The sequence below is a fragment of the Homo sapiens genome, chromosome 3 (assembly GCF_000001405.40).
Source record: "Homo sapiens chromosome 3, GRCh38.p14 Primary Assembly".
NCBI classification, from domain to species: Eukaryota; Metazoa; Chordata; class Mammalia; order Primates; family Hominidae; genus Homo; species Homo sapiens.
This window is the reverse complement of record NC_000003.12, coordinates 127280818-127300829: the sequence shown is the minus strand read 5'-3', so window position 1 is coordinate 127300829 and position 20012 is coordinate 127280818. Positions and strand designations below refer to the sequence as shown.

The following is a 20012-nucleotide window of genomic DNA, read 5'->3' as shown; positions in this document are numbered from 1 at the left end:
CTTCCTCCCCAACACACCTCATCTCAGTCTAATCATGAGAAAAATACCAGACAAATCTCAATGGCAGGACATCCTGCAAAATATCTGACCAGTATGCCTCAAAACTCTCAAGGTCATCACAAGCAAAGAACGTCTGAGAAACTGTCACAGCCACGAGGAGCTGAAGGAGGCGTGATGACTAGTTGTAATGTGGCACCCCGATAGGATCCTGGGACAGCAAGAAAGCCATCATATAAAAGCGAAGAAAATCTGAATGGAGTATGGGCTGTAGTTAATAATAATTATCATTATTGGTTCATTAATTGTAACAAATACAAGGTAATCGTAACTAATTTAAGATGTTAGTAATGGGGAACTGGGTACTGAATGTATGGGGAACAAACATCAGTAATAGCTCTACAATTTTTCTGTAAATATGAAACTATTCTCAAGTTAAAAATTTACTTAAAATTATATGTCAACTCTTTCTTAGCCAATTTACTAATTTTAATATAATTCAAAATCCCCAGTAATTTTTTTCCCAAAATGGAAAACTGATCACAAAAATTATGCAGGTTATTTCCCAAAGAGGAGGAATAGCTAAGTAAATATTGGATTAGCAAAGCTGGGGGGTGAATTTCTATAAGTGATTTTAAAACATGTAAAGGGACAACCTTAAAACAATATAGTTCTGATGCGAAAACAGAGCAAGGAAATGGAATGCTTGACCCCCAAACAGGCTTGAGAGCTTGCCTCTATAAAGGTGGCTGCTCTGAAGGACTGAAAAAAGAAGGAATGGGCATATTTGCAGACATATCAGGCATAGAGTCATCCAAAAAGCATCCGGTTTTATTTTAATTTTAAATGTGGCCTGAGGTGCAGAAGGCTGTTGGTCGCACTCCTCAGATCATGGCCGGCTCTCATCCTCACTCCATGCAAGGTTCTTTCTGGTTCTTTTTTGTTTTCCCCTTATCCTTCATTCAGACCTTACCTCCCCAGCAGCACCCAATCCAGTGTGTTTGGTTTATGTCTTTAGAAAAGCAAGTACTTCTGAAAAATAGGCAGTATTGTTTCATGTATATATTTTCAGTTTAGATAAATGCTAATATCCAGTAGGTCTAATTGTATTTCTTTCCTTTTTAGCCCAACAATACGCATCTTCAGACGAAGCCACGTTGCTGTATGTGCTCTAGTGTAAGGCTTTGGGCTGCTGTACGGTGTCACGTAGAATGCGCCCACCATGTGGATCGCTCCCTTCCTCTAGCAATGGAGGTTGCCTCACCCTTCCCAGTCCCACATGTGATACTATGATGAAAGAACTTTCTGGTTCTCATTTCTTGTGTATGTGTGACTTTCACCAGGATTGACTCAGGAGGGTGAGTGCTGGGTCATAGGGCCACTCATACTTAATTTCCTGAGTGCTACCAGCTTCCTCTTCATAATAAATGCACAGCGCACATTACGGCCAGCTGTGCACAGGGCTTCCATGACCTTGGTACTCCCCAACATGTGTATTACCCAATTTCCTCATTTTGCCCATTGAACAGGAATATTTTGCATCCTGTGGATGCAGTGTTTTCATTTACTTACTGAAAAGGCTGAGCACTGCTCCCTCTTCTCTAGTCCAGCTTCTTCAACGGACAGCCCTTTCATATCTTTTGCTCATTGTTCTATTGAATTTCCTGCCTTTTTTGGCTATCTTGTTATGTTATCTTATTTATTTATTATTTTTTATAGATTTAGAGGGCACAGATGTAGTTTTGTTACGTAGATATATTGCATAATGTGCAGGTGGGCTTTGAGTGTAGCCATCACCTGAACAATGACATTGTACCCACCAGACAGTTTCTCACCCCCACCCCCAGTCCACCCTCCCACCTTTCTGAGTCTCTGGGGTCTATTACTTCACTCATGTGTACACATTATTTAGCTCCCACTTATAAATAAGAATAAATGTCCTGCCTTTTGCTCATTGATTTGCATGAGTCCCTGGTATATCCCAGATTCGCCTCTCTGGCTGATGGCTGTCTTTCTGCCTTACTGTGGAGATCAGCAGGCTATGGCTTACTTGAGGCAATGTGGGGAGACTAGAGTTATCCCCAAAGTACTCCTCCTCCACCTCTGTCCTGGGCAAAGGGCCTTCCTCCTCCACCTCTGTCCTGTGCAAAGGGTCCTGCCCTCTCTTCTACTCAAAAGTGCCAGTGCTCCATCTCTCTGCCAGTTCTCCAAGCACCAGCCACAGCCAGTGGCCCCAGGGGGTCTCACTGCTTTTAGTGTTGGTTTGAGAAATCCATCGACCTCCCTCTGGCATTGGTGTATCTCTGAGGCTATCTTTGGAAGCAGTGACCCTGTGCTAATTTGACATCTTACCTAGAGCCAGAAGACAGTGTGCCACTTGCCAGTTTTACAGGGAAAAAGATTCAGAGGAAAAGTATTTAAGTACTTTTCACATTGTATATTGAAGATATATTAAAGTGGTTTTTTTTTTAAGGGGAAACATATAATTATTGTGTTTGTCACATCTAGTGGTTGAAAGCTGCTCTTCTTGTTTTCTCCAAGTCCTTATCATTTTCTTGGTGGGTAGCAGACCTCACAGGAGGCCTGTACCATTAAACAGAACCCAGGGTCATGGCAACAGCTCGAGTGCTTCTGCACCACGGGCTGTGGGAGCGAGAGATTGAAATCTGAATGATTCAAGAATAACTGTAGCTCATGTGTACTGAATGGCTTGTGGTTCATTATTTTTGTGAAGAAATCTATAAAAGGAAGCAGAGCTGGTGTTTTCCTTGTGAGGTTTTTTCCATGGCCACACTTCATCAGAATCTCTGGGGTGGGGCCCAGGCATCCTTGTTTTTTCACACTGTTCAGGTGACTTCAAGGACAGCCAAGGTTGAAAGCCATTGCCAACCTAGACAACTGGTTTTTAAACCTGGCTATACATTGTATTGCCCGAGAGGATCCTGCTTCCTGGCTCCCACTCCCAGAGGTTCCGATTTAACTAGTATGGAATACAGCCTGGACACTGGGATTTCTAATGCTACTCGAGTGATTCTAACGTGCAGCAAGGTTGAAGAGCCTTGGCCTTTGAGTGTGGCAATTCCTCTCCCCCACACCTCTCACACCACTGTGTTCTTTGGTTTCATTCCATCTGATTTTTGAGCTTCCCTTCCAATAGTCACTATTTATTTATTTTTGTCCTGAAGGCTGTCTTGGAATTTTGCATATGTTTATTGGTTGTTTATTCACCATTGCTTTTTGTGTCTCATGCCTTTCTTTGGTACTCTTTTTTTTCCCTACACAACAGCTTCCTTTAGAAGTTCGTTTAGCAGAAATCTGGATGGAGCTATACATTTTCTGCACAGGTTTTTAGGAAATCTATTTTTTTTTTTTATCTTCTGTACTGACGGTTTGGCTGGGTATGGAATTCTGCCTTGATGGGCTCTTCCACTCTGAGGGCATTGTTCCACTGCCTTCTTTCCTCCAGGGCTGCCAGCGAGAGGGCTCTGCCAGGCTGTTAGGTGTTTTATATAATGTCTCTTTTTTGTCCAGTTGCTTTTATGCTTTCTCTCTTTGCCTTTTGTTTTTGGCAGTTGTACTCGTATAATGTTTGGGTGTCAAGTTATTTATTCTTGGCCTGCTTGCAGTTTTTTAATTCTTCCATCTTAGCATTCAAGTCTTAGCTCGATTCCAGAGCATGTTCAGCTGCGCCCTCTGTGGATGTGCCTCTTCTCCCTCCTCTTAAGTGTATGTTGGATGCCTTTAGAACCTCCCTCATGTTTGTCTCCTAACCTCTCTTTCATATATTCCATCTCTGTGTCTATCCATTTGCACTACGTTTGAATTCTTTACCTTTAAGCTATGTCATATTAATTTAATTTAATTTAAATATTTTTAAGGCAGGGTCTTGTTGTTACCCAGGCTGGAGTGCAATGGCGCAATCATAGCTCACTGCAGCCTCGAACTTCTGGGCTCAAGCCTCTCATGTTGCTGAGACTACAGGCATGTGCCACCATGTCCAACTAATTTTTTTTATTCTTTTAAATTTTTAAAATAGAGATGGGATCTCACTATGTTTCCCAAGCTAGTCTCACACTTCTGGACTCAAATGATTCTCCCACCTTGGCCTTCCAAAGTGCTAGGCCACTTAAAATTTAAATTTTTATGTTTATATTTACTTCAAGAAGTTGTATTTGCTTCATTTCAAAATCTACATGTTTTGTTTGTTTTCATATTTTCCTGTTCATGCTTATGCATTTTATTCCTTATTTTATCTTGTTAATAATTTTAAGCATATTGGCTTTATACTTGTTATTTAAATTTCTTGATATGCTAATCCTTCTCTTCCTTTTTTTAGCCTACTCTTCCACTCAGAGACTCACTTCGTTATCGTTCATATGGGAGTCCTTATCTTCTGGAGATGTGTATTGAAATATTTATTATTGAAATGGCATGATGCCTAGGGTTTGCTTCCAAGGATCGGGTGTTGAGGGAGTGGGTGGGGTATAGATAAAGCAATATTGGGTCTGGGATTTGTAGTTTTTACTTATGAGCTCATCTTTACTGAGGACTTTTTCCTTTGGGAATTCTCATGTTCTGTGCTGTGGAAGTATTGCTAGAGAGAAAATTTTTGTTTTCCTCAGCTACTTATCCTCATAAATTTAACAGATGCTGGATAAGATTTTTAAAAATTGATATCTTGTCTTTGAGATTTTGGCAACATATGGTTAGTATAAATTGGGATTCCACACCCTGCTTAGGAACCTAGGATTCTTTTACCCAGAGCTTAAGTAGACCTCAGCCTCTTTGTTGCTTCTCTGGGCTGCTGGGAAGATTCATTTTAGTTCCCTTTTTCACCAACGGGCAGTTCTTCCAGGATCCCAGTTTGTAACTGAAGTCTCACTTCTGGCTCTCAAATGTGGGGGTACAAGGACAAGTCTCCATTCTGAGCCAATGTTTATAAGGTCACCATTATATCAGTTATTTTTGTCTTTCAAGGTCAGTTCTATATTTATACATTTTCCAGCATTTCTATGTATGTGTGTGTGTTTGTAGTCTACGTTCTGCCATGGTGTTGGTTTTTGATTGTATATAGGAAATAACTTAGCTTTTTCCATTTAAATTTGTAATCAAGACTTTTCTTAATTATCTTATTCTTGGATTTTTCAGATAGACAATATCACTTGAATAAGTTTATAAAAATAATAATTAAAATTTATTGTTTTCCTACAAACAATATTATCCATCATTGTTTCATTATTTCACCTATTTTTCAAATTATCCTCAGATAAATCTCTGTGCTATTACGAGTCTCCACTCTGCAGGTGGAGGAATGAAGGCTTGGAGCTGTTAGGTGACTTGCCCAAGGTCATGTACCGTGAGTGGGACACGGGGTTTGCAGCCTGGGTACAGCCACTCTGAGTCTGCACAGTTAATGCCTACTCCATGTTACCTCCCTAAATGATTATGATACATTTGCTTTAAAAAAAAATACCTTTTTTGTGTGTTTTATTAAAGTGGCTAAATGTTCCAGAACAGTCTTCCAGTACAAACCTCCTGTAGGATAGAAAGTTGGCCCCCACCTGGTATCCAGGTGCTCCTCCACATTCCCAGCCTCACCTGAACTTAGGTTGAGGCCAGGTGCCTGGAGCTGGCCAATGAAACAGGAGTGAGAGTGAAATGGGGGTGTTATGTTCCAGGTGGCAGAGGCTGCCAAACCCACATCAACCTTACATGAAGGAGAAGTAAACTCGGACTGAGGAAAGCAACTGGGATGGGAGGAGAAGGGTTCTGTTGTGACAGCAAGTGCCAGTTACCCAGCTTTTGCCTGCTACTTTGTAAGAAATAAATCTTTATTCTTTACACATTGCTCAGTCTCAGATATTCTGTCATAGAGGCACAACATACACAAACGCACTACATACATCTTCTCCTTCCTCACTGTTACCATAGTGTCCCCTCCTTTTGTCTAAAACCAATCCCTCCAACCCTGCTTCTCTCATTATCCCTGCCTTCTCTCATTATCCCTGCCTTCTCTCATTATCCCTGCCTTCTCTTCTCAGAACCTAATCATTTCATCTTTCTCAGCCTCATATATTCAATCCCATTCTCTTAATGGGATCCTCTTTATTTCTTTTATTTTACTTAAACATTCTTATTGTGATTATGATTTTTAAGAAGAGTCCTTACCTTTTAAATACTTACTGAAATATTTATGGTCTCAGTGGCATTGTGCCTGGGATTTGCTTCAAAATAATCCAATGTTGAGGGAGTGGGTAGAGCACAGATGAAGTAAGATGGGCCAAGTTTTGGTACCTGTTGAGGCTGAATAATGGGTACATGAGGGAGGTATCACGCTCTCCTGTCTACTTTTCTGTAGAAATGTTTGAATTTTTTCATAACAGGCAGCTTTTCTTGAAATGGTTCACAAAAATTAATAGAAGAAAAAACTTTTTAAGAAATTATTTTTCAAAAACAGGAGGAGAAAACAATTTTATTACAATCCGTGAAACACACTTACCCCCAATGCCTCTTCATTTCCATCCTCCTTATCTCCCAGTTGTTCAGCACTGGGGACCTCGAGGGTATTTTTGTTACATTGGGGTCTTCAAAGAAGGAGGGAGGGGCTGTGAGCCAATGAATGAAGGCAGCTTCTAGTAGCTGGAAAAGGCAAGAAAACGGATTCTCCCCTGGATCCTCCAGAGGAAACTCAGCCTCACTGATACCTTGATTTTAGCCTTGTAAGACATATTTTGGACTTCTGACCTCCAGTGCTGTAAAATAATAAATTTGTGTTAAGTCACTAAGTTGGCAGCAATTTGTTACAGCAGCAATGGGAAACTAGTATACATGTTTTATCACTGAATCAAAATATGGTCTTGGTCTGATACTGAGTTCCCTTATGGACAGAAGCAATATAATGCATAGGTTAAGACTTGGGGGGCGTCCCCACCCGGCAGCCGCCCTGTCTGGGAGGTGGGGGGCGCCCCCAACCGGCAGCCGCCCCGTCCGGGAGGTGGGGGGCGCCTCTGCCTGGCAGCCACGTCTGAGAAGTGAGGAGCCCCTCTGCCCGGCCGCCACCCAGTCTGGGAGCTGTACTCAACAGCTCATTGAGAACGGGCCATGATGACGATGGCGGTTTTGTCGAATAGAAAAGGGGGAAATGTGGGGAAAAGAAAGAGAGATCAGATTGTTACTGTGTCTGTGTAGAAAGAAGTAGACATAGGAGACTCCATTTCGTTCTGTACTAAGAAAAATTCTTCTGCCTTGGGATGCTGTTAATCTATAACCTTACCCCCAACCCCGTGCTCTCTGAAACATGTGCTGTGTCCACTCAGGGTTAAATGGATTAAGGGCGGTGCAAGATGTGCTTTGTTAAACAGATGCTTGAAGGCAGCATGCTCGTTAAGAGTCATCACCACTCCCTAATCTCAAGTACCCAGGGACACAAACACTGTGGAAGGCCGCAGAGTCCTCTGCCTAGGAAAACCAGAGACCTTTGTTCACTTGTTTATCTGCTGACCTTCTCTCCACTATTGTCCTATGACCCTGCCAAATCCCCCTCTCCGAGAAACACCGAAGAATGATCAATAAATACTAAAAATTAAAAAAAAAAAAGACTTGGAGCTCTTGAATAACAGTCAGGTTAAAATCCTGATTCTGCCCCACAGTAGCTGGGTGACTGTGGATAAGCCACTCAAGCACCCAGTACCCCTGTTTCTTCCTTTGTAAAATGAGAATAACAGTATTACCTACACACTAAAGTTGCTGGGAGGATTGAATGCATGAATATGTGAAAAGGACTGGGGACAATGCCTGGCACATGGCAGCGTCCAATAGATGTTAGCTATTATTGTTAGCTGTTATATGTTTCTGACCTATTCTCATCAACTAATTCACCTGTTCCTTTGCCAATACCATACTATTTTAATAGCTGGGAAAGGCTCAACTCACTATTGTTCTTTTTCACAACTTTTTTCCTCTGAAATTTAATTCTCCATATAAAATTTAAAACATTTCATCCAATTCCAATAAAGAAAAAAAAAACAGCATTGATTTTAACCAATGGTGTTGGAACAAACTGGACGCCCATAATTAAAAATATAAATCTCAACCCTTACTTCACACTCTACACAAAAATTAACAAAAATGGTTGTTAACCTAAAGGTGAAAGCTAAAACTATAAAACTTCTAGAAGAAAATATAGGAAAACTGTATATGACTTTGGAGTAGGCAAAGATTCCTTAGATGGGACGCAAAAAACATGAATTGTACAAGAAAACATTGATGCATTTTTTGCAATGGGCACTGTGATTTGCTGCTAGACCTTTCTTCAGAAATTAAGTATTTGTGACCTCAGCTGTGAGAATTGCCACCAGCAGACAGCCCTCAGCCCTTGCAGATGGACCCTAAGGAACTGCCTTGGCTGAAGGGACTCCCCTGACCCTTACCCATGGGCACACTCATCCTTCAGGCATCTTGCATCCAGCGACATTCAATGGGGACATCAAGGCCTGGCCCTGTTGCCCCAACTCAGAACAGCTTTAGCAGGTCACCTTACCACCAGAACATCCCACAGGGTCTACTGAGGCACAGCATTGAGGCTGAGTGGGCCTGCCTCTTTCCCTTCTACATCCCTAGAAGGCACACCTCATACACCTTCTGCATTCTAATTTCCATCTCAGAGTTGGCTTCCTGGGAATCCCAACTTGAGATACTGGGCCTCATTAAAATTAAAATCTGTTATTTCAAGACACTGTTAAGAAAATGAAAAGGCAAGACACAGACTGGGAGAATACATTCACACTCAATACATATATTCATCAAAGACCTGTATCCATAACACACAAAGAACTCTTACAACTCAAGAATAGAAAGTCAACCCAATAAAAAGGGTAAAAGTTTTGAACAGAAACTTCACAAAAGTATCTATGGCTGTGGTCAGTGAGAACATGAAAGCCCAATAAGGATAAGAATATGCAAATGAGCACAGAACATCCTGTGGTGCCAGGGAGCAAGGAGGGGCCCCAAACCAAACCAAAAGTCACAGTGATGGGGCATGTATTAGTCAGTTCTCACACTGTTGATAAAGACATACCTGAGACTTAGTAATTTATAAAGAAAAAGAGGTTTACTGGACTCTCAGTTCCTTGTGACTGGGGAGGCCTCACAATCATGGCAGAAGGCAAAAGGCATGTCTTACATGGAGGCAGACAAGAGAGAATGAAAAAAAAATCAAGTGAAAGGGGAAACCCCTTATAAAATCATCAGCTCTCATGAGACTTATTCACTACCATGAGAACAGTATGGGAGAAAGAGCCCCCATGATTCAATTATCTCCCACTGGGTCCCTCCCACAACACATGGGAATTATGGGAGCTACAATTCAATATGAGATTTAGGTGGGGACACAGCAAAACCGTATCAGGGTGTGACAAAAGGACCCAGCAGCCAACTGAAGGAGCTCCCAATGGCCAAAGCTGGAAACTTTGAGTAACAAAATAATTAACTAAATAATTAATAATTAAATATGTAATGAAAATATTTAATAAAATAATTAGCTAAATTATTAAATAATTAATCCCATGAAGAATTGGATTATAATCCAAAGTATACAACAGATATCCATGAGTCCATACTGATATAAATAAATGATTATATAAATAAATACATGGGGAAGAATAGACAAATCCCCCACACAGGAGAACTCCAAATAATTTAGGTAGCCATTCTCCTGCAAGGAGATAAGCGTACTTTCCCTTTTTTAAAGTGTAGGCTACAGATAGTGACTCCCAAAAAATGCAGCAGAGAAAGAGAGGGGAAAATTACTTTATGGTGGAGAAACCTAACCAACACTGTCCCAGCCAGGTGACCAGGACGAATACCAGCAGTGATAAGCCATGCTGATAGTGTGCACCCTAGACAGGATGGGATGGGAATAGTTCTTTCCCTCGGCAATCTTCCTTACAAAAACACACTATTCCAGTAGGATCGTGAGGAACACATCAGATGAATTTCAGGAGAGGACGTCTTACAGTATACCTGACCAGTAATCAAAGTGTCAAGGTCATCAAAAACAAGGCAAGCCTGAGAAACCCTTGCACCTAAGAGGAGCCATTACTAATTGTAATGTGGTACCCTGGATGGGGTCCTGAGACAGAAAAGGTATGTCAAGACCGAGGATAGACCAAACATAGACTTTAGTTAATAACGATGTATCAGTATTGGTTAATGTATCAATAATTGCTATTTCCATAATAATTAATTATGACAAATATACCATGCTAATGTAAGATGCCAGGAACGATAAATTTTGTGTGGGTTGTAAGAGAACTCTCTGTGTTTTTTTCAACTTTTCTGTGAGTCTAAAACTATTCTAAAATAAAACCACTTATTTTTAAGAATCCATTAAGCATAACATTAGTCAACAAGGGAATGCAAGTTGAAACCACTATGAGACACCACTCCACAGACACTAGAGTGGCTTAAAGGAAAAGGATCAGCAATATCAAGTGTTGGCAGGGATGTGGGAATGCCTAAAACCCTCACACACTTTGGGAAGGTATGTAAAATCCCACAACTAATAGGAAAGCAATTTGATAATTTTTTATAAATCTAAAAAAAAACTTGATTATTTGACCCAGAAATTTCACTTGTAGATATTTGCCCAAGTAAAATGAAAGCATATGTCTATCCAAAGTCTTGTACATGAGTGTTCTTAGCAGTTTTCTTCATTATAGTCCCAAACTGGAAACAACCCAATCAATGTCCATCAGCTAGTAATGACTGGATAAATAAACTGCGGTCTATTAATGCAATGAGACACCACTCAGCAATGAAAAGGAATGAATGACTTATGCATTCTACAACATAGATGGACTTCAACAACATTATGTCAAGCAAGAGAAACCCGGCAGAAAAGGGGGTGTACTGTATGCTATATATATATATATATATATATATTTTTGAGACAGGGTCTGACTCTGCATCCCAGGCTGGAATGCAGTGGTGCAATCTTGGCTCACTGCAGCCTTACCCTCCCTGGCTCAAGCAATCCTCCCACCTCAGCTTTCCTAGTGGATGGACCACAGGCAAGTGCCACCACACACGGGTAAAATTTTTTTTTTTTTTTTTGGTAGAGATGGGGCCTTGCTACGTTGCCCAGGCTGGTGTCAAACTCCTGAACTCAAGTAATCCTCTAACCTCCATCTCCCAAAGTTCTGGGATTACAGGCATGAGACACCGTGCCTGGCCTGGATTTTTAAAACAGCATTATGGGAGCAGGGTGTGGAGGCTTATGCCTGTAATCCCAGTCACTTAGGAGGCCCAGGCGGGAGGATTGCTTGAGGCTAGGAGTTTGAGATTAACCCCGGACATCACAGCGAAACTTTGTCTCGACGACAACACCATCACCCAATTAGCAGGAGTGGTGGCGTTAGCCTGTGGTCCCAGCTACTCGGGAGGCTGAGGTGAAAGTATTGCTTGAGCTTAGGAGTTCAAGACCAGCCTGGGCACATGGCAAACCCCATCTCTACAAAAAGTACAAAAATTAGCCGGGTGCGGTGGTGCGAACCTGTGGTCCCAGCTACTCGGGAGGCTGAGACAGGAGAATCGCTTCAACCCGGAAGGCGGAGGTTGCAGTGAGCCAAGATTGCACCACGGCACTCCAGCCTGGGCGACAGAGGGAGACTCCAGCTCTTTAAGAAACAAACAAGCAAACCAACTAACCAACCCTCTGCAGGCGCCCTCTTCTGTCCTGGAGTGTTTCCTACTCTCTTCCTCCTCCTGTGTGCCTGTGTATGTACCCACAGCAGTAAACGCACGAGGTGTGTGTCTTACACGTATCTCCAGCCCCATCGCCATCTCTCTGAGCTCCAGACCCTTTTTACAAAAGGCCAGTTGACATCCTCACTTGGTGCCTCAAAAGCTTCTTCAACCCAACGTGCAGAAGCCAAGCTCCCCATCTTACACTCAGCGCAGGTTCCTGGTCCACCTTCGTCTGAAGGAACGGGAGGCCAAGGCTGCAGGCTCCTTCCCTCCAAGGGCTGTTCACACTCGGCTCACTTTCACTTGCAGATTTCTCTCCCTCCCGGGGAACGTTCTCCACCTTTGCCGCCCACAGTCCTAGCCTAACACGATCCTGTGCCCAGCCCCTAGGGCTGCGTAGCCTCTTTGCGTCTCGGAGTTAACCTGGGCACCCTGAATTCTCTCCTTCACAGCCAGGCTGACCGTTTTTGAAATGTTCACCCGCTCAGGACACCATTTGGTGGTTTCCCGGAAGAAGACCAGCTCCTGCGGCCCCCGCCCCCACCTCACACACCCGGGGCCTGGGCCTGGTCTCCCCCTCCATTCCCGGCATGGGCTGGGCTCCCTTCCAGTCCGGGCCTCAGCGCCCCTTCTTCACTCCCCTGCCTCCCTCCCTGCCCTTCCCAGCCAGGTTCACGTCGACTAATTTCAAATTCCAAATTCCAGACTTCAGCGCAAATATCCCCCCCCATGCTTTCCTTCACCATGCTCAGATCTAATTAAATCAAATCTTCCTATTCGCTACTCTCACGGCACCACACCTCCCTTTTGCTGGCACTTAATTGTAATTATGAATTTTTTTTCCTCAACGATTAGATTGATCAATCAACCATTGACATTTATGCACAGGGGCTTCTCGGTGGGCTTTATTTGACAAGCAAAGGACTGGCCCAATGGCCTTCCAAGCCCAGTCAGGCCTGCCCCAGCTGGCCCCGCCCCTTACCACTCCCATCACGTGACGGCCTCACCGCCTTATAAGAGGGAGCTCTCGTAACCGCGAGCAGTCAGCTTTCTGCCGGGCTCCGAACTAGGACTGCTGGGTGCTCCCTCCTACCTGCCTGGTAGGGGGCGCATTTGAGGGCGACGTCGGAGCCATAGCCGTGATCCCGTGGACACCTCCAGCTCCTCAGGCCTCTCCCCATAGAAGAGAGCCAGCTGCAGGGAGATCAGGTGTGTGTCTGGGTGTCCCTGAGGGGTGGGTAGAGTTTGCGTGGGTACAGGTGGGGACAGAATCCTCAGTGCTCTAGAAGGCCGAGGCCACATGCCTTGTCACCGCTGTCTTCTTCGCAACTCTGTTCCCCATCCTCCATCTTTTTTCTCTCTTCCGCTAAGGAGGGATCATTCCTCCAGGAGGCCTAAGTCTCCCCGGTACCAGCTTTGCCTGAAGAAACTGGGATAAGTTAATCAAGCTGCCTCTAGGCCAATCCCCGCTTGCTACTGGCTCCACTTGGAAATCCTTTAAAATGCGGAAGTCTCCCCCCACCCCAACTCCCACCTTCACAGGATCCCCCTGGCTGCGCCCCGCGGGCTCAGTGCAAATGCTCTGAGACCCGCGAGCGGCAGTGGCCCTGTAGGAGGGGGTGAGGTGGGGTCCGCATCGCTGCGTGACGCTTGGGAAATTAGGCTGTGGTTTAATACCCTGACAGACGCGTTTTCCTCCCCACCCACTCCCGCAGATTCCTCATGGAGGAACCAAGGCACTCGAAACGACCTCGCTTCCTGGCCCCAAATCAAGGTACCATCAAACGCCTACCACTCTTTTTAATTTTTTCCAGATTTTTACTTTACCTTTGGTATTGACTTATAGAACTTAGATATGCAAATGTGACATGTTATGAAATGCAGCAGCCCATGCTCCTTCTCAATCTCCCACACCTTTGGGACCACCACCTCCATCTGGGTAGCCATTTCTTCTAGCATTTCCTCTCATTCTTTAAATAACATGCGTACCCTACTGCTATTTCTTTTTCCGTTTAGACTTTATTTATGGTCTTCCCGCTAGAGTAGTGGAGTATTTAGCTGTAGTTCACAGATTCCCACCACCACCACCACTCACCCAGCCACACCCATCCCAGGGCCCACACCCTCTGCCCCTCCCCCACCGCCCAGGAGCCAGTAGGACACTAGGATTACTTTGCACCTCTTGCATAACTTGAGTTTTCCAGGACTTGACACTTCTCCTGGGTTATTATGTGTTTACTTATCACGAGTCTATCCCTCAATTCTTCCCCAATTACTTAAATTCAAACTCAATCAAGCGTTCTCTCAGTTTCACTTTCTCATAGCCTGCTCCAACCGGGACTGGCTGCTCTGAGTCACCTCCCAGCTGCCACTCCAGGATCTCCCTTCCACATCATCTGGGAAATTCCTTTTCCTCTTTTGAATTTTAACCCATTTCCTTTATCTGGTGTCTTTTTCTTTCTTATTTTACTTTTTCTCTTTGGAAGAGTGAGTCCTTACACTATGTCTCGATCTACGTATGATAAGCCAGGACTCTCACCTTGTTCTTTTCTGGAGGTATTGGAATTTGATGGCCATTGCCAAATTATTCTTGAAAACATTTCCCTTCATACACTGTCCTAAATCTTTTAATCTTGTCTAGTTTGATAGGCACATTACAAGAAAGCATGCCTTGAAGGGAAATTATTTAAGATCTTGCTTGTCTGCAAACATCTTCATTCTGATTCCTAAGGGATACTTTGGTTGGATATCAAATTTTGGGTGGGAAATCCATTTCCCTCGAAATTTTGAAGGCATTTTCTATAATCTTCTAGATTTAATTGCTGCTTTTGAGGTGTCTGATTTTTGAGACATGTTGAATCCTGACCCTTTCCATATGGCCTTTCTTCCCTTTCTCTTTCTCCCTCTCTGGAAGATTTTAAGATCTTTCGTTGTCACCAGCACTCTGGAATTTTATGGGGATGTGTCTCAGTAACAATACACTTCTAATTTTCTTATATTTTATCTTCCTTCCTTTCCATCATTGTGGGTTTTTGCTCTCTTTCCTGGGAGATCTTCTCAACTTTATCCTCCAAAATTTCCATGGAGATTTTCATTTCTGCTCTCATAATTTTAATTTCAAAAAGCTGTAGTTTTTCTGAATATTCCTTTTCAAAAGTACCCTATAATTGATTCATGGGCATAATTCCTTCTATCTCTCTGGGGATATTAATTATAGATGTTTTTGGAAAGTCTCATCTGTGGCATAAACTGTTTCCTCCAAGTTGGCTTTTCTTGTGTTATTGTTCTGTCTCTTATGTTAGAGCCTTTCCTCTGATGTTTGGTGATATCTGATTGCTGCTTATAGTTTAAAAATGGGACCCAGAAGAAGCTGTTGGGAGCTCCAAGCTCGTGGATGGGGCTTGTTGATTGGGTTCCACAGAATAGATATGGTTGGGCTATGAAATTGGGCAACCTTAGATGTCAGTTTCTTGGGACTTTTTCTTAGGCTACACAGGTTTCCCAGGGAAGGATCTTCAGATGATCTTCAATGCCTACTCTGTCATTGATAAAATTTCTGTAGACGTTTGTCTAGTTTCGGACTTCCTGTTCTGTTCCATTGCTCAATCATGTATCTGTGTGAACGCCTCCCCTCCCTGCCAAACTAGCTTATAGCTACCCCAGGCTTTTTTCCTCCTGGAAGCCATGCAACTACCCCCGGCCCCCCTGTCACCTGGAATCCTCTCCCTCCCTGCTATCCCTACTAATCCTCTCCCGCCTTTGCCTTGCTAAATCCCACCCATCCTTGATATCCCTGGCTTAGGTTAACTTCTCCAATAAGACTTTCTGATCATCTCCTTCCCAATACATGTTAAGATGCTTACTTGCACCTGATAGTAATGTAAACATTTTTCTTGTAGTAACTCAGTTCTTGTAAGGACCCAGGGGTTGGCATGTTATTATACTAATTTATGAAAAGGGCCACTGATGCCCAGATAAGTGAAGCTGCCTGGGAATACAACGCCAGCATTCTGGATATGGAGCCACCTCCCTTATGATACCTTTCACCTCCCAGCTGGTCACTCATTAGCATCATTCATTTTTAGGTGTTCTGTTTGTCTCTCCTACTGAGGTTTAAACACAGTGAAGGCAGGCAGTGTGTCATTTTTATTCAAACTCAGCCACTGTAGGGAACTGTAGACTCATTTACTTATTAGTAAAATGGCAATCATAATATCTGACTGACAAGGTCATTGCAAGGACTTGAGAGGCTCATGGAAAGTGCTGAGCCCAGGCTAGGCCCTTGGACAGAGTGCTCCTGAGGGCTCACCCTGCAGGCATCTCCCGACCCTCACTCTGTTTGCCCGGGTTCCCCTGGGCCCTCCCTGAACCCCTCTCCTGGTCTCCCTTCCTGAAGGCTTCCTGGGCAGCCCCTACTCCATCTCCTTACACTCTGCTTCTCTTTTAGCTTCAGGTGGGCCTCCTACAGAGCCAGGCTGCTCTGGTGTGGACCGTGAAGACCCTGTAGACCCAGTCCAACCGGCAAAACCCACTGCTTATGTGAAACCCATGAGACGGGAGCCCCCAGCTCGCGCACAGCCAGCTCCTCCTGCAGGAAGAGGCCAGCGTGGGGGAGGAAGCTGGCGGGCAGGTCGAGGCCGCGGCAGTGGGGCTGGGCTTCTCAGGGCCCTGGGCGAGAGAGTGGGGCCAGGCATGTACCTAGTCCATCTGAATGACCATGGAGAGCTAGGCTACCAGGGGCAACTGGAAGCCAGGCAGACCCCAGCCTTCTCTTTTACTGAAGCAGCTCTTATGCCTGGAATTGTGCAGGAAGGCCCCGGCCCCCATGCAGCCCAGCCTGAGGTGGGGCTTCAGGAGCCACCTCCTGCTCCTGGGCCTGTGGCTGTGGCCAGGCAGACCATGTTGGCCCCCTCTCCCTCCCTCAGTTTCAGGCCTCCGGGTGGCTCATCTACTTTGTGCATCGTGCAGACCTCTAATAGCACCATCGTGCAGAGTGTCCCAGTGTTCCCTGCCCACTCTGCACACTAACCTCTGTCATCCGTATTGCTGCCAGCCTTCTTTTCTTCCACCTGGTCTTTCCCCCTATCCCCAAACTCTAGCCCCATTTCTGCTCCACTCCTCCCTGCCCATCCCAGTCAGAGCCCTTACTTTGTGTTGTCATGAGCCTCCAAGTCCTCCTCCCAGGATCCTGACAGTAGTCCATCTGCTTCCAATTCCCCTCTTGCCTCCGCTTTGTATGTTCTGTCAAAAATACACATGCATGGAGTTCCTCAATGCTTATTCAAATAAACCAGCAGCTCTCTGAGTCCTTTTAATGTGCTTATATTAAAAGCCAATTAAAGATACTTGGGATGAAAAACAAGGTTGTTGGAATCCAAAGTTAATGTTGATGGTTTGAATCACAGAATAGATAGGACTGAGGAATAAAAACTAGATATTTGGGCAAGAGAGAGATGGACAGTGTGACAGAGCAGTCATCCATGGAGCTCTCATGGGATCCATTGTCCTGAGGATCCACAGATGATCTAACGTGGAGCTCCCCAGGGATCCATCATCCTGGGGATCAGATGTCACGTAACATGGAATTCTCCCAGGATCCATTGTCCTGAGGATCCACAGGTCATGTAATGTGGAGTTCTTCTGGGATCCATTGTCCTGAGGATCCACAGGCCATGTAATGTGGCTCTCTTACAGGATCCATTGTCCTAAGGATCCACAGGTCATCTAACATGGAGCTCTCCCAGGATCCATCATCCTGAGGATTCTCAGGCCATCTAACATAGAGCTCTCCCAGGATCCATCATCCTGAGGATCCACAGGTCATCAGAAATGGAGCTCTCCTGCAATCCATCATCCTGAAGATCCGCATCTCATCTTAGGATTCATCTAACATGAAGCTCCCCTGGGATCCATCATACAGAGGATACTCAGGTCATTTAACATGGAGCTCCTTCCGGATCCATTGTCCTGAGGATCCACAGGCATCTAACGTGGAGCTCTCCCAGGATCTGTCATCCTGAGGATCCACAGGTCACCTAACATGGAGTTCCCCCCAGGATCCATCATCCTGAAGATGAGAAGTCATCTAATGTGGAACTTCCCTGGGAACCGTCGTCCTGAGTATCTAGAGGTCATCTATCATGGAGCTCCCCTGAGATCCGTTATCTGTGGATCCACACATCATGTAACGTGGAGCTCCCTCACAATCTGTCGTCCTGAGGATCAGAGGTCATCTAACATGGAGCTCCCTCGGGATCCATCATCCTGAGTATCCAGAGGTCATCTAATGTGGAACTCTGCTGGGATTTGTCATCCTGAGGAGACACATGTCATGTGACGTGGAGCTCCCTCACAATCCATCGTCCTGAGGATCAGAGGTCATCTAACTTGGAGCTCTTCTGTGATCAGTTGTCCTGAGGATCCAGAGGTCATCTAATGTGGAGCTCCCCCAGGATCCATCATCCTGAGGACCCACAGGATCCATCATCCACAGGATCCAGAGGTCATCTAACATGGAAAGCCTGAACATTTGGATGACAGCAAAATACGAGGAAATTTTGGCTATATGAATTCTCCCGATGAAAGAAAGATGTGAATCCTGAGCGGGCTACAAGAATAACACCCTTTGGGAGTATGAAGTATGGTAGAGAGAACATTCCAAAAGCTGCCTGAGAGCTGAGACCTGCATGGAAAGCAGAATTAGGCTTACAGTAGATTTTGCATGGCAGCATCAATGACTGGAAAGCAATGGTGCAACATCCTTAGAGCTTCAAGAGGGAAGTAACTCTGAATCTAGAATTCTATGATCAGTCAAATGTTTTGGGAGTGGAGGAGGCAAGAAGTGTCAGCTCAAGGGCAAGGCCACATGAAGAGAGAAAGGGCCTACAGAAAAAGGAGAAAAAGTGAGACTCCTACTCAGACTGGACCTGAAGCCTGAGCTTCCCCTGAACTTAGAGTACACAACTTATAGTGTGCAAGCTACTAAACCCCTTTTCTGTTCAGGGCAGTTTGAATTCAGCTGTTATGTACAGCGAAAGTATGAATAATGTTTTTCAGCCAGGGAAAAAAACCCAAAAAACCTAGAAGTGGGATGCAAGAAGAATCGGAAAGCAAGGAAATTAGTTAGCTATATTATTAAGTCTAGATAAGTAAGATTCTGGAAGAAAGATGGGTGATCTGGAATTAAAATTCCAGAAGACTTTGACATAGACATTTGGGGCATGGGGGACTTCAGAAGGAACTAGACATTATTAAAGTTCTTGTCTAGTTCCTGGAGATGACATACAGGCTGAATATAAGAGAACAACGAAATTCTAGACTCTGACACGTTTATAAGTTGAAGTGTGTGTCTCCATTGGGAACCACGACATGAGTTGGAATAGAATGTAAAATTTTGAACAGATTAAGGAAAAGGGGGATCAAAGAAAATTTGATAGTTCAAACAAAAGGCATGGGGGGTTAATATAAACAAGGAGAGTGTGACATACTTACGGTGCTAAATAAGGAATCAGTAATTAGATGGCTTTGTCTTTAGCTTCCTCCGGGCTTTAACGGGAATATTTTAAACATTTCACCATTAAGCAAGATATTTGCTGTAGGTTTCTCATAGATGTTTGATAAAGTTGAGGTAGTTCTCATCTTTTTAGAGTTTGATAAAAGGTGTATTATGAATTGGATTTTATGTTTTATTAAGTAGGCTTTTATTAGCTGATTTTGAGTCACTTGTAAGAGAAAATGTCCAAGTAGCATGAAGAGAATTTTTCCCAACAAAAATTTTTGTCTTGTGTATTCAATCCTCTTAAATAAACCCTTCCCTTTGACTTTTTTTTTTACTATAGCTCTTTTACTAAAATTTCACAAATTATGAATATAAAATGTCTTTACCAAAACCAGAAAAAAGAGACAAAAGGTAGAAAAACAATGTTGGCTGTCTCTAGTCTTCATTCTTATTGTATCTTTCCCCATAATCACACGAGTCTATATAAGCAAATGTGTATATTAAAAGCATCATTTGTGGTTTGATTTTACAAACCCCCGGCATGCCATCCACCAGGGGTCATGCTGAAGTGACTACAGGGTCCAGGCAGGTAACTCGGGTGTGGCAGATGTGGTGGGGACCAGCGCCTCTCTCTCTTTTTTTTTTTTTTTTTTTTTTGAGACGGAGTCTCGCTCTGTCGCCCAGGCTGGAGTGCAGTGGCGGGATCTCGGCTCACTGCAAGCTCCGCCTCCCGGGTTCACGCAATTCTCCTGCCTCAGCCTCCCAAGTAGCT

The 20012-nt window shown here is 44.1% G+C and overlaps 1 protein-coding gene across 1 annotated transcript, besides 1 other annotated feature; it reads left to right on the top strand.

The window, feature by feature from the left end:
• Window positions 12167-12668: an enhancer, noted in NCBI's record as "H3K4me1 hESC enhancer chr3:127007005-127007506 (GRCh37/hg19 assembly coordinates)". NCBI's record gives its function as "activates a minimal SCP1, AML or CMV promoter by ChIP-STARR-seq in primed H9 embryonic stem cells {active_cell/tissue: H9 hESC(primed)}" and the evidence as "EXISTENCE:reporter gene assay evidence [ECO:0000049][PMID:30033119]".
• Window positions 12784-17047, top strand: PRR20G (proline rich 20G). Its single transcript, NM_001362810.2, has 3 exons — window positions 12784-12951; window positions 13458-13516; window positions 16190-17047. The coding sequence occupies exons 2-3, from the start codon at window positions 13465-13467 to the stop codon at window positions 16768-16770; spliced, it is 633 nt and encodes a 210-aa protein (NP_001349739.1). The 5' UTR covers window positions 12784-12951; window positions 13458-13464; the 3' UTR covers window positions 16771-17047.
• Window positions 17048-20012: the final 2965 nt, after the last annotated feature.

Coding starts and splice junctions, on each gene's coding strand:
- PRR20G (NM_001362810.2), top strand. CDS start 13,465: ATGGAGGAACCAAGGCACTCGAAACGACCTCGCTTCCTGGCCCCAAAT. Junction 13,517..16,189: donor CTTCCTGGCCCCAAATCAAG/GTACCATCAAAC, acceptor CTTCTCTTTTAG/CTTCAGGTGGGCCTCCTACA.